Genomic DNA, 13,263 nt, shown 5'->3' with positions numbered 1-13,263 from the left:
CTCAGTAGCTTGCTTTGGAAGGAGCAACCAACTCCTTCCAGTTTGTGGTTTTATTTTCTAAATTCCAATTAAAAAAACTCGTTCATTGCCAACATCACCTGATGTGTACTGATGATACGTGTGGTTGAGATGTTCTATTATGGGAGAATGAGTGATGGAGAAGGAAAGAGCTCAGTGGGCAGCACAGGTGAATCTGGCTGTTCTAACACACCTTCCCATACAACTCAGCACTGTTCCCCCAGTTCAGGAATCGTGCTCCCTTGTGATCTCGCCACTGCACTCCAGCCTGGGTGACAGAGCGATACCCTGTCTCTAAAAAATAAAAAATAATAATAAAAAAAGGAATCATGCTGCTAAGAACACCAGGAAGATTGTTATTCTGAAAATAGGAGGATGCCCAGAGTTGCCCTGAACAGCTTCGTCACCACTGCCCCGTGTCCCTCCTGGCTCTGCTGTCTGAGGGCTGCTGACGTCCTGGCACCTGAGCTCTCTGGGGAAGGCACAGTTACCTCCTGAAGAAGATAAGCCAGGCTCTTCTCTTTCCTATATGGAAAACTCATTTTTGGGGTGGGTTGGTGGGCAGAAGCAGGAAAAACAGGCCTGGTGGTTTGTGGAGAGAAAACTGGCCTGAGAGTCAGAGGTGTGGGTATCAGTACTCAGATTGGCTGCCACCTGTGTGGCCTCAAGAAAGTATGATCTCCCCACTCCCCTTCTTGAGTCTTCAGTTTTGTGGGGGTTTTTTTTTGTTGTTTGTTTGTTTGTTTGTTTGAAACAGAGTCTTACCCTGTCGCCCAGGCTGGAGTACAGTGGTGCGATCTTGGCTCACTGCAACCTCCACCTCCCAGGTTCAAGCGATCCTCCCGCCCCAGCCTTCCAAGTAGCTGGGATTACATCCTCACACCACCACGCCCAGCCAATTTTTGTATTTTTAGTAGAGATGAGGTTTCACCATGTTGGCCAGGCTGGTCTCGAACTTCTGACCTTGTGATCCACCTGCCTCGGCCTCCCAAAGTGCTGGCATTACAGGCGTGAGCCACCACACCCAGCAAGTCTTAAGTTTTTTTTTTTAATCTAAAAAATTATAGGAAAAGGAGAAGGAAAGGGAAGGGGAAAATTCTGAGGTGCTGGCAGCTGTGTTTGACAGGAGGTCAGGATTAAGCCCATCTTGGTCTGCTGCCTGCCCCATCCTTTCACTTCCCAGGTGAAAAATTGGCCACATGATTTATCTAAAGCTAACAGAGTCATTCCTGTTTAAGAAATTTGAAAACACACGTGTACACATGCATGTGTGCGTACACACACACACAGTGTCCTTTTGTTACTGAAAGTTCTGGGATCTCCCTTGAAGCTGATTTGTAAGTTTTGATCATACTTTTATTTTTCTAAGCTTTGCCATTGACAGTAATGAAACCAAATCTCCTAGGCTACAGAGATGCAGGCTAATGAGTACCATAGACTCCACCAGAGTGGGAGGAAGGATGGCCCATCACTGCAGCCATGCTCTGTGCTCTTCTGTCCCTTGTGCTCCCCTCAACAGCAGCTTGGAGTCTTCTCTGGGAGCCACTGTTTAATATTAAAATCTGTGGAGGTGTCACACATTTGCTAATAAACTGTTTTCCAAACAGACATGTTCATCCTAAATATTACTCATTTTCTTTTTTCAGATAGGGCCTCTAATTAATTAGGGTGACAGAGCTAAGTAAGCTTGGTTATCCAATTTTAAAAGAGAATTTTAGAAAATGAATTAAAAAAAAATTTTTTTTTGAGACAGAGTCTTGCTCTGTTGCCCAGGCTGGACCAGTGCAATGGTGTGATCTCAGCTCACTGCAACCTCTGCCTCCCGGGTTCAAGTGATCCTCCCACTTCAGCCTCCCCAGTAGCTGGGACTACAGGTGTGTGTCACCACACCCGGCTAATTTTTGTATTTTTAGTAGAGACAGGGTTTCACCATGTTAGCCAGGCTGGTCTTGAACTCCTAACCTCAAATGATCTGCCCACCTTGGCCTCCTAGAGTGCTGGGATTACAGGTGTGAGCCGCCATGCCCGGCCTAAGGAGATCTTGATAAGCAAAGGTTTGGGAAACTGGTTGACCTCGACCAAAAACCCACCTAACATTAATCTAAGAAATAAAGGAGCTTTGCCTAGAGAAGACCTGGAGCTTTGATCTGTGGTGATCTCTCCCACGTTGAAGTCTTGATTTCATCAGGCAGAGCTGTTCCAATTCTCAGAGCAGCTTAAAGAGTGGGGTGGGCTCTGGATTTTTGGGATCCTACTGCTCAGTTCAGTCCATGGAAATGAAATTCTCCAGTCCTTTAGCAATAACAAAAGTAGAAAATTATTTTCAGATCGTCCTTTGAGACAACCCAACTTCTTTGTCAGCTTCATAGTCACTTTCCAAGTTTATGACCCCAGAGCAATCTGACCTTGGTAGCTTGTCTCCCTCATTAAATTCTCTGACTTCATAATCAGCTCACATTCCCTTCCTCTCTCTCCCTCTCTTTTTAAATATCTGTAAAACATTCAAATGATCCACGTAGATTTATCTTGCTTTTAGGCCACACTCTGAGATGTGTAATCCGGTTGCTCACACATTTAGAGGAGTCCATGAGCATCACGCCATGCTACTCTCCACTGGTTTGAACATCTTAGGCACTCAGGCATTCCGTTACGAAGATGGGCATGTGTACGGGTGCACTCTACTGAGCCTGAGTATCTTCACAAAAGGGGTGGTGGATTCTTGAAGGTGAAGAGCAAACATTTTTGTCTGTTTCTGGATAATTAAATTTACCTTAAAAATATACATGGAAAAAGGAAGGTCTTTATTTTTCATCTTATACTGAATTTAATTCTACTGCGTTTCCATTCCTACTCTTGTGTGCAGGGCTCTGCTGGATGTTTGAGACCGTTGTATCCACTGTTTGCTCTCATAATTCTTCCTCTAGTTGAATCTTCTGTTCCTATCATTGTTAGTTTGTTCTTCTATTATTCAAGTGACTTTTTTTTTATTTGGCTTAGTTTTTTGGAAACAAGACTTAGAAAAAACATTATTGATTTCTGTGTACAAAAGGAAGGGAGCGTATCAGTGACTTTAAACAAACAGCATTTGTTCTTTCACTGCTAAGATCTCTGCAGGAGTTACCACCAACCTTGGTAACTGCTTGGCAGTATGGCAGGTGACATGCCATCCCACTGTGGTATCCTTGACTGATTTGGGTAGTGGGTGTAAATGAGTGCTTGAGTTGGATTTATCACCACAGAATCTAGAGAGGGGACAGCAGCCACACAATTGAAAATTTGTTTTGAGTGCCTCTTTTGCTTCAGATGGTGTTCTGGGGCTCACAGGGCCTGCTGAGGTGAGCAGCTTGCTCCCTGCTCTTGGACAGGGAGATCAGGAAGGGTGCTGTAGAGGAGGCTTATTTGAGAGGACCTTGAAGGATGGATAGGATTTCACCGGGCAGAGTTGACAGAGGTTAGTTAATTGGAGAACAAGGGCTAAAAGAATTTGAGTGGTTGGTTAGTAGCAAGTTGTTGCCCAGTTTGGATGAAGCTTATGGGTGGGGGAGGATGTGAGGTAGCTAATTCAGAGCCTTCCACTTTTGACTGAGAAGTTTATGTTTAATTCAACAGGAAACGAGGAAAAATTATATATTTTTGAATGTGTGGGGAAGGATAGGACTGGAGCTGCCCTTGAAGACCAGTCTGGCAGTAGCATTGGAAGAGTGGAGGTGGGCTGAGGACGTCTTGTAAACTTGGCTGTGCGTTAGAGTCATCGGGAGAACTTGAAAATGCCCCAATGCTGGCCTGTACCCCAGCAAGTCAGAGCAGAATCCCTAGGGTGGGACATGGGCATCCAGGCCCTGAGAACTACTGGACTGGATCAGGACTATGCCCCTAGTGAGAGACGTTGAGAGCTGTCGGTGTACAGCAGCACTTCACACTATTAGCACGCTGGAGTCACATGAGGAACTTCAGACACACAGAGCAGAAACTTGGGTCCAATTTAATTCATCTGGGGTACAAGTTTCCAGTGTCCCAGGATGTTAGGACACTAATATGCAGCCAAAGTGGGTGGAAGATTGGGCTAGAAAATTGGTGGGAGGTCGGGATGTTGAGGCAAGGAGTATTTTTTTTGTTCTTTTTTGAGATGGAATTTTGCTCTGTCACCCAGGCCGCAGTGCAGTGGCACAATCTCAGCTCACTGCAACCTCTGCCTTCCGGGTTCAAGCTGTTCTCCTGCCTCAGCTTCCTGAGTAGCTGGGATTATAGGCATGTGCCACCACACCCCAGCTAATTTTTGTATTTTTAGTAGAGACGGGGTTTCGCCATGTTGGCCAGGCTAGTCTCCAACTCCTGACCTCAAGTGATCCACCCGCCTCAGCCTCCCAAAGTGCTGGGATTACAGGTGTGAGCCACCGCGCCCAGCTGAGGTAGTGAGTATTGACTGCATTGTTGACATAATGGATAGTTAAGCCCCAGGCTGCATAGAGAACATGGGGAACCAGTACAGAAGTGGTAGAGGAGTTGAGGGACACAGTCAAGAAGAGGGATGTTGTGGGGGTCATGGTAGCTGTGCAGTAAATAGGGAAAATCTGTAGTTTCACATCTTAGGTATGGCTACCGGTAGATGGCTAGGCTGGAATAAAGAGCACCAAGAATGGTAGACACAGACTATTAGAAGGGCCGTGGGCAACCTTTTCCACGTTCCTGAGAGTGCTGTCGAAAGGTAGGATGGAGGAAGAGACTTAGCTAGCTAGGAAGAGACTTTGGTGCTGGTCACAGGATAAGAAGGAGATGGGTTTGGCAAGTGGTTGACACTGTGATGGGGGAACCCGGATGGGCATGGTTGATGAGACGGTGAGACAGGATTGCTACTGTTGACAAAACAACTTCTGGCCCTATAACTGGAGGGGTTAAAAGGGATTCTGTGTGGATCTGAAAGTGAGAAAGCTGCAGCAGGGCTCGGGGGTTGGGGTATGAGGCCTTTTGGAGAACTGCGTGTGAGAGGACAGTAGGTCTCTAGGGGACGTCGTGCGAGGCATCAGTTGGGATTTGCTAAGGTGAGCTTCTGGTCAGAAGGACGTCTAGTCTGGACTGGGCTGGGAATACAGGAAGGGCTGGGAAGGAAGGAAGCGTGTGCTATGCTGGTCATTTAGGTCCCATGGAGAGGGAGGTGAGCGTTGCCTCCACACGCAGCTCTGCTGGGTGCTGTGCTTCTCGGTGGCTGTTGGAGCTCCTGGCTTCTCAGTGGGATCACTAAATCGTTAACTGGTAAATGGAGCCGAAGTGCATTAACATGGAGAGGTTGAAGGTGGAGGAAAGGTACGAGAAGATAGAGTTTTGTGAATGGAAGACTATGTAGACTAAGATCGCAGATTCAAGTGTTGGCTGTAGAATATATTCCTGCTGTTTGTCTCCTCAGTCACTCAACAATGAGTACTGACTGTGTACGAGGCACCTTCTCAACTCTGGGAATAGAAATAACCGTGGAGGTACTGTTCTCATGGGATTTGCATTCTAATAGGGACCACAGACAAATAAGCAAATTAACTTAAATAAGATGAATTCAGGTAGATGCCATGAGGAGGATAAACTAGTTTTGCCACACACAGACTGAGTAGGGTAGAAGTTGTATAGCTATAAAAGTGACTCCTTCAGGGTAGAAGCAGCTTCTCATTCCATGTTACTATTCTCTCTTGAGTAATTCTGGGTAAATGATACCACTGATCATTCATGTCAGTCAAGAGTGATCTATATTTTTCTAGCAATTCAAATTACTGACCCCCATCCAATAATCTTTGTGGTCATGTTTCACAATTGCCTATAAACTGCTCATTGTTAGGACCTGCTAAATAAATGTCTTTAGGACTCAATAACTTTCAGAGTTTAGAACAGATTAAATTTAGCTGAAAGGAAAGATGGGATCTCTGCTATGGAAGTGCAGTCACGTAGTGGTCTTTGACAGAGCAATCTGTGCGTTTTTCATACCTAGATGTGCATTTTTCAGCATGAGTTACACAATAGTAGAATATTTTTAAATTCTAACAAGATTCTTTGAAGTTTTTTCATGACATTTTGGATTGGGGGAAAGATTAGAAGAGAAAGGTCTGGTTCTTGTTAAAACCTTTGCTGATAATCTTATGTCAGCTGTGGGTGAATACTCCCCATGGCCAGGAGAGACAGAACAGGGAGAAGTTGGAGCTGAACCCAAAATGGGGCTCTGTCTAGCCGGCGGAGTTCCCTTTAAATGTCACTGTTGTTTCGTTTTCTTTGATGCTTTCTCAGTGTAACATGTTTTATCCAAACAGGCTGGAGGGCCTAAAACAAACAAACAGAAGACATGAAGGAGCTTGATGTGTGGATAATTCATTTCCTCTTTGTAAGGAACATTTCTTTGATCCTTTATTAGGCCACAAAATGTTTCTGCCTGCCGTTAGCCATTCTTGACTGTGTTGAGAGGCCCCGCCAATTCCAGCCGGCCTGGATTCAGAGCAGCCTGATCTTCCACCAGCCTGGGAAGAAGGCTGTAAAGGCCGATCTCATGTCTCAGGGCTGTCCCCAAGTTAACCAAGCGAAAGAGCTGCAGTGCTGTTGTGTGAGGTTTCATGCGTGAGGTTTCCTGTGTGAGTGGTGCTGACATCGTGTCCAGTCATTCTTCAGTTTGATTTTTCAAAAACAAGAAATTCTGGTTCTTCTTCCTTTTTTTTTTTTGTTTGTTTATTTGTTTGTTTGTTTGATTGATTGTTTGAGATGGAGTCTTGCTCTGTCACCGAGGCTGGAGTGCAGTGGCGTGATCTCGGCTCAGTGCAACCTGCGCCTCCCGGGTTCAAGAGATTCTACTGCCTCAGCCTCCCAAGTAGCTGGGATTACAGATGTGCGCCAGGGCCATCTGGAGGCCTCTGCACACGGCAGGCATTTAATAAATGTTTCTTCAATGACGTTTCCTATTAGCCACCATGCCCAGCTAATTTTTATGTTTTTAGTAGAGATGGAGTTTCACCATGTTGGCCAGGCTGGTCTCCAACTCCTGACTTCGTGATCCACCCGCCTCGGCCTCCCAAAGTACTGGGATTACAGGCGTGAGCCACTGCGCCTGGCCTTTTTTTTTCCCCCTTTTTATTCCCTTCCCTCACTTCTACTTTTTTCAGATAACTCTTCATCTATCTGTGGAAAATGCACCCAATAGTAATTATTTTCTTTAGAATATTTATGCTGAGAAGACAAAAGTGTTGGTAAACCTGCTTTCTGGTTGAGTCTGTGCCTTGGACCAGTTGCTGTACCTTGGGAGAGTCATTGGTCCTCTCACTAAGAAATGAGAGTAATAATAATTAAATAGTCCCCTTCTGGCTCTGAAAGGCCCAGATACTGATAATAGGAAACGTCATCGAAGAAACATTTATTAAATGCCTGTCGTGTGCAGAGGCCTCCAGGTGGCCCTGGACAGGAACTCCCCACCTCAAGAAGATGATGTTCTAATGGCAGTGGTGGACTTGGATGCCCAGAACATAGTGCTGGGCAGAATGGGGAAGTTCCATGGGGCACACAGAAAGATGGAAACACAGAGGAGCACGACATGACATAGGCATGAGATAGTAAGGGAATTTGTTCAGAGCCGCAGCAGTGGTGAGTGGAGTACTCAGGAATCCAAGTCAGATCATCACACCCAATATCGGCTCCCCAGACAGCAGAACTACCCTGTGAGGAGACACAGAGAGTGCAGGATGTATTCGGAGAAGCAGGCAGAGCCTGGCTCGAGTTGGATCTGGAGGTGGGGTGGCAGACGCAGGCAAGTGCCGCACACTCATTCTTCTGTGTCCATTGCATACACGGTCAACACAGCACAGCCTCCACTGGAGCTGAAACGAAACCTCAGAATCCACATGCTTGGTAGATTTTACCTCTGCATAAAAGTGGGGTTCCTCAGGCAGCAACCTTTGCTGTTCTGCAGCCTCTGCTGGTGATACCCAGGCAAACAGGTTCTGAAGTGGACCTCCAGAAAACTCCAGCAGACCTGCAGCAGAGGGGCCTGACTGTTAGAAGGAAAACTAATAAACAGAAAGGAATACCATCAACATCAACACAAAGGATGTCCACACAGAAACCCCATCTGAAGGTCACCAACATCAAAGACCAAAGGTAGACACATCCACGAAGATGAGGAAAAAACAAGGCAAAAAGTCTGAAAATTCCAAAAACCAGAACGCCTCTTCTCCTTCAAAGGAGTACAGCTCCTTGCCAGCAAGGGAACAAAACTGGATGGAGAATGAGTTTGACAAATTGACAGAAGTAGGCTTCAGAAAGTGGGTAATAACAAACTCCTCCGAGCTAAAGGAGCATGTTCTAACCCAATGCGAGGAAGCTAAGAACCTTGAAAAAAGGTTAGAGGAACTGCTAACTAGAATAACCAGTTTAGAGAAGAACATAAATGATCTGATGGAGCTGAAAAAAAAAACAGCAGGAGAACTTTGTGAAGCATACACAAGTATCAATAGCCGAATTGATCAAGCAGAAGAAAGGGTATCAGAGATTGAAGATCAGCTTAATGAAGTAAAGCGTGAAGACAAGATTAGAGAAAAAAGAACGAAAAGAAATGAACAGGCCCGGCACAGTGGCTCACGCCTATAATCCCAGCACTTTGGGAGGCCGAGGCGGGCGGATCACGAGGTCAGGAGATTGAGACCATCCTGCCTAACATGGTGAAACCCCGTCTCTACTAAAAATACAAAAAAAAAAAATTAGCCCGGTGTGGCAGTGGGCGCCTGTAGTCCCAGCTACTCGGGAGGCTGAGGCAGGAGAATGGCGTGAACCCGGAGGCGGAGCTTGCAGTGAGCCGAGATGGCGCCACAGCACTCCAGCCTGGGTGACAGAGCGAGACTCTAAAAAAAAGAAAAGAAAAGAAATGAACAAAGCCTCCAAGAAATATGGGACTATGAAAAGACCAAACCTACGTTTGATTGGTGTGCCTGAAAGTGACACAGAGAATGGAACCAAGTTGGAAAACACTCTTCGGGATATTAACCAGGAGAATTTCCCCAACTTAGCAAGACAGGCCAGCATTCAAATTCAGGAAATACAGAGACCACCACAAAGATACTCCTCGAGAAGAGCAACCCCAAGACACATAATCTTCAGATTCACCAAGGTTGAAATGAAAGAAAAAATGTTAAGGGCAGCCAGAGAGAAAGGTCAGGTTACCCACAAAGGGAAGCCCATATCAGATGAGAAGAGTAACCCCAAGACACGTAATCTTCAGATTCACCAAGGTTGAAATGAAAGAAAAAATGTTTAGGGCAGCCAGAGAGAAAGGTCGGGTTACCCACAAAGGGAAGCCCATATCAGACTATCAGCGGATCTCTGCAGAAACCCTACAAGCCAGAAGACCGTGGGGGCCAATATTCAACATTCTTAAAAGAATTTTCAACCCAGAATTTCATATCCAGCCAAACTAAGCTTCATAAGCGAAAGAGAAATAAAATCCTTTACAGACAAGCAAATGCTGAGAGATTTTGTCACCACTAGGCCTGCCTTACAAGAGCTCCTGAAGGAAGCACTAAACATGGAAAGGAACAACAGGCGCCAGCCACTGCAAAAACATGCCAAATTGTAAAGACCGTCGACACTGTGAAAACTAACACAAGGACAGAAAACCAAACACCACATGTTCTCACTCGTAAGTGGGAGTTGAACAGTGAGAACACATGGACACAGGGAGGGGAACATCACACACCAGGGCCTGTTGGGGGGTGGGGGCGGGTAGGGGAGGGATAGCATTAGGAAAAATACCTAATGTAGATGATGGGTTGATGGGTGCAGCAAACCACCATGGTACGTGTAAACTATGTAACAAACCTGCACGTTCTGCCCATGTATCCCCGAACATAAAAAAAAAAAGGTGGGGTTCCTGCCGCAGGTGGTTGCTGATGGAGACGATTGTCTATCTGTCTTCTTCTGCAGTTGGTTCAGAACCAAGATCACCTCTGTAATTTCCTGCTTATGAAGATTATTGTCTTCAACCACTGGGTGTTGGGGCTGGCCCATCTACATGTGTAGATGATGGCTGAAAAATAAAATAAGTAAAAAAGAGTCCAGATGCTTGGGTGTGGTGTGGGTATGTGAGAGTCCAGGCTGAAGTGACAGAATGGAAGGTGCCAAGCACTTTAATTGGCACACTGAAGAATTTGTGCTTTTTACTGTCCTTGAACAGAGCTATAGTCAGCTTTGGAATTCCAGTGAAGAAAAGTCTGTACCTTGGTGGAACAGCAGTTACATACGGCAAGATCTTCCATGGTGCAACCTGTCTTGGTTCAAGAAAGTGTTTTCAGTGACCCTAGTTTGTTTCTGTTAGGTAAAACCAGACTAAATATAGCTGAGATGTGGAAGCATGCTTGGTACCCCAAAGAATTTCTGGGTCTTCCTTTAGGTAGATACAAAGCTAAGAAAAATATTTTATCCCTATGAAGCCCCTAAAAGAATTTTGCCTGAAAGCGCATACCCACTCCCAAATTTAAATTGACTTTTTTTATGATAAGGATGTAACTTCCAAAATTACAAACATTGACATTTAAAAATAAAATTGTCCCCTCACTCTTTTAAATATTACAAGTGAATTTTAAATACCATAGTGATTTATACCCATTATCTTTTTTTTTTTTTTTAAATAAAGAAAAGAGGTTTAATTGGCGCACAGTTCTATAGGCTGTACAAGCATGACACCAACATCTACGCACTTCCTGGGGAGGCCTCAGGGAGCTTTTACTTATGGCGGAAGCTGAAGCGGGAACACCACATCACATGGTGGAAGAAGGAGCAAGGGGGTGGGGCTGCTACACACTTTTAAACAACCAGATCTTGCAAGAACTCACTCACTATTGCAAGCACAGCACCCAGAGGATGGTGCTTAAACCATTCATGAGAAATCCACCCACGTGATCCAGTAACCTTCCACCAGGCCCCATCTCCGACATTGGGGATTACATTTCAACATGAAATTTGGGAGGAGACAAATATTCAAATTATATAATTCCATTCCTGGCTTCCCGCAAACCACATGTCCTTCTCACATTACAAATTATCCGTTATCGATAGTCCCCCAAAGTCTTACCTCATTCCAGTATAAACTCAAAAGTCCTAAGTCTTATCTGAGACAAGGCAAGTCCCTTCCACCTATGAGCCTGTAAAATCAAAAACAAGTTATTTACTTCCAAGATACAATGCGGGTATAGGCATTGGATAAACATTCCCATTCCAAAAGGTAGAAATCAGTCAAAAGAAAGAGGCATTGAGCCCAATGCAAGTCCTAAACCCAGCAGGGCAATCATTAAATCTTAAAGCTCCAAAATAGCCCTTGACTCCATTTGCCACAGCCTGGGCAAACTGATGAGGGGCAGGCTCCCAAGGTCTTGGGCACTTCCACTTCTGTGGCTTTGCAGGGTTCAGCAAATTGGAGTTGAATGCCTGCAGCTTTTCCAGGCATACAGTGCAAGCTGCTGATGGATCTACCATTCTTGGGTCTGGAAGACAATGGCCCCTTCCCACAGCTCCACTAGGTGGTGCCCCAGTGGGGACTCTGTGTGGGCCCTCCAACCCCACATTTCCCCTCTACACTGCCCTAGTAGAGTATCTGTGTGAGGGCTCCATCTCTGCAGCAGGCTTCTGGCCTGGGCACCTGATACATCCTCTGAAATCTTGGCAGAGGCTGCCAAGCCTCCATCACTCTTGCACTCTGTACACCTGCAGACTTAACACCACCTGGAAGCTGCCACAGCCTATGGCTTGTACCCTCTGAAGCAGCAGCCTGAGCTGTATCAGAGGCCCTTTGAGCCAAGGATGTAGTCACAGGGGCATGTGGGAAGCAGTGTCCCAAAGCTGCAGAGGGCAGCAAAACCCCATGCCTGGCCCTGAAAACTATTCTTTCCTCTTAGGTTTCTCATCCTATGATGGGAGGGGCTGCTGGGAAGGTCTTTGAAATTCCTTTAAGGCCTTTCCCTCATTGTCTTGGATATCAGCGCTTGGCTCCCTTTTAGTTACACAAATATCTCTAGCAAGTGATTGCTTTACAGCCTGCCTGAATTTCTCTCCTGAGAAAGCTTTTCTTTCTTTTTTTTTTTTTTTTTTTTCTTTTTTTGAGACTGAGTCTCACCTGTCACTCAGGCTAGAGTGCAGAGGTGCTCACTGCAACCTCTGCCTCTTGGGTTCAGGTGATCCTCCTGCCTCAGCCTCCCAGGTAGCTGGGATTACAGGTGTGTGCCATCATGCCGGGCTAATTTTTTGTATCTTTAGTAGAGATGGGGTTTCACCATGTTGGCCAGGCTGGTCTTGAACTCCTGACCTCATGATCCACCCGCCGCGGCCTCTCAAAGTGCTGGGATTACAGGCGTGAGCCACCACGCCCAACCAAAAGCTTTTCTTTCTTTGCCACATTGCCAGGGTGCAAATGTTCCAAACTTCTTTGCTCTGCTTCCCTTTTAAGTATAAATTCCAACTTCAAGTCATTTCTTTGTCCCCACATTTGAGTTAAGCTAGTAGAAGCAGCCAGGTCACATCTTGAATACTTTGCTGCTTAGAGATTTCTTCCACCAGATACCCTAGGTCATCACTCTCAAATTCAAACTTCAACAGATACCTAGGGCAGAAACACAACACAGCCATCTTTTTTGCTAGGACATCACAAGGGTGACTTTTGCTCCAGTGCCCAATAATGTCCTCATTTCCATCTGAGACCTTCTCAGCCTGGTCTTCACTGTCCGTATCACTGTCAGTATTTTGGTCACAACCATTTAACCAGTCTTTTAAGAAGTTCCAAACTTTCCCTCATCTTCCTGTCTTCTTCTGAGCCCTGCAAACTCTTCTAACATCTGTCCATTACCCCGTTGCAAAGCTGCTTCCATATTTTCAGGTGTCTTTATAGCAGTACCCTACTCCTGGCACCAATTTTCCGAATTAGGCCATTCTTGCATTGCTATAAAGAAACACCAGAGATTGGGTGATTTATAAAGAAAAGAGGTTTAATTGGCCCACAATTCTGCAGGCTGTACAAGCACGGTGCTGGCGTCTGTGTGGCTTCTGGGGAGGCCTCAGGGAGCTTTTACTTATGGTAGAAAACGAAGTAGGAGCAGGCACATCACATGATGAAAGGAGGAGCAAGAACTATCATCTATTTTTAAAATAAGCTTTTTTTTTTTTTTTTTTTAAGATGGAGTCTTGCTCTGTCACTTGGGCTGGACTGCAGTGGCGGCACCATCTTGGTCCACTGTGCAACGTCTGCTT

General features: G+C 45.6%; 1 protein-coding gene across 2 annotated transcripts in view, besides 2 other annotated features; it reads left to right on the top strand.

Moving 5' to 3' along the window:
- Positions 1-13,263, top strand: part of RERE (arginine-glutamic acid dipeptide repeats) — a 465,237-nt gene that overhangs the window by 362,068 nt on the left and 89,906 nt on the right. The gene's annotated exons all lie outside the window — the stretch shown is intronic.
- Positions 4,657-5,156: an enhancer, noted in NCBI's record as "H3K27ac hESC enhancer chr1:8510477-8510976 (GRCh37/hg19 assembly coordinates)". NCBI's record gives its function as "activates a minimal SCP1, AML or CMV promoter by ChIP-STARR-seq in naive H9 embryonic stem cells {active_cell/tissue: H9 hESC(naive)}" and the evidence as "EXISTENCE:reporter gene assay evidence [ECO:0000049][PMID:30033119]".
- Positions 6,061-6,560: an enhancer, noted in NCBI's record as "H3K27ac hESC enhancer chr1:8509073-8509572 (GRCh37/hg19 assembly coordinates)". NCBI's record gives its function as "activates a minimal SCP1, AML or CMV promoter by ChIP-STARR-seq in naive H9 embryonic stem cells {active_cell/tissue: H9 hESC(naive)}" and the evidence as "EXISTENCE:reporter gene assay evidence [ECO:0000049][PMID:30033119]".

Source organism: Homo sapiens, chromosome 1 (genome assembly GCF_000001405.40).
Source record: "Homo sapiens chromosome 1, GRCh38.p14 Primary Assembly".
Lineage (NCBI taxonomy): Eukaryota > Metazoa > Chordata > Mammalia > Primates > Hominidae > Homo > Homo sapiens.
This window is presented reverse-complemented; position numbering and strand designations above follow the sequence as displayed.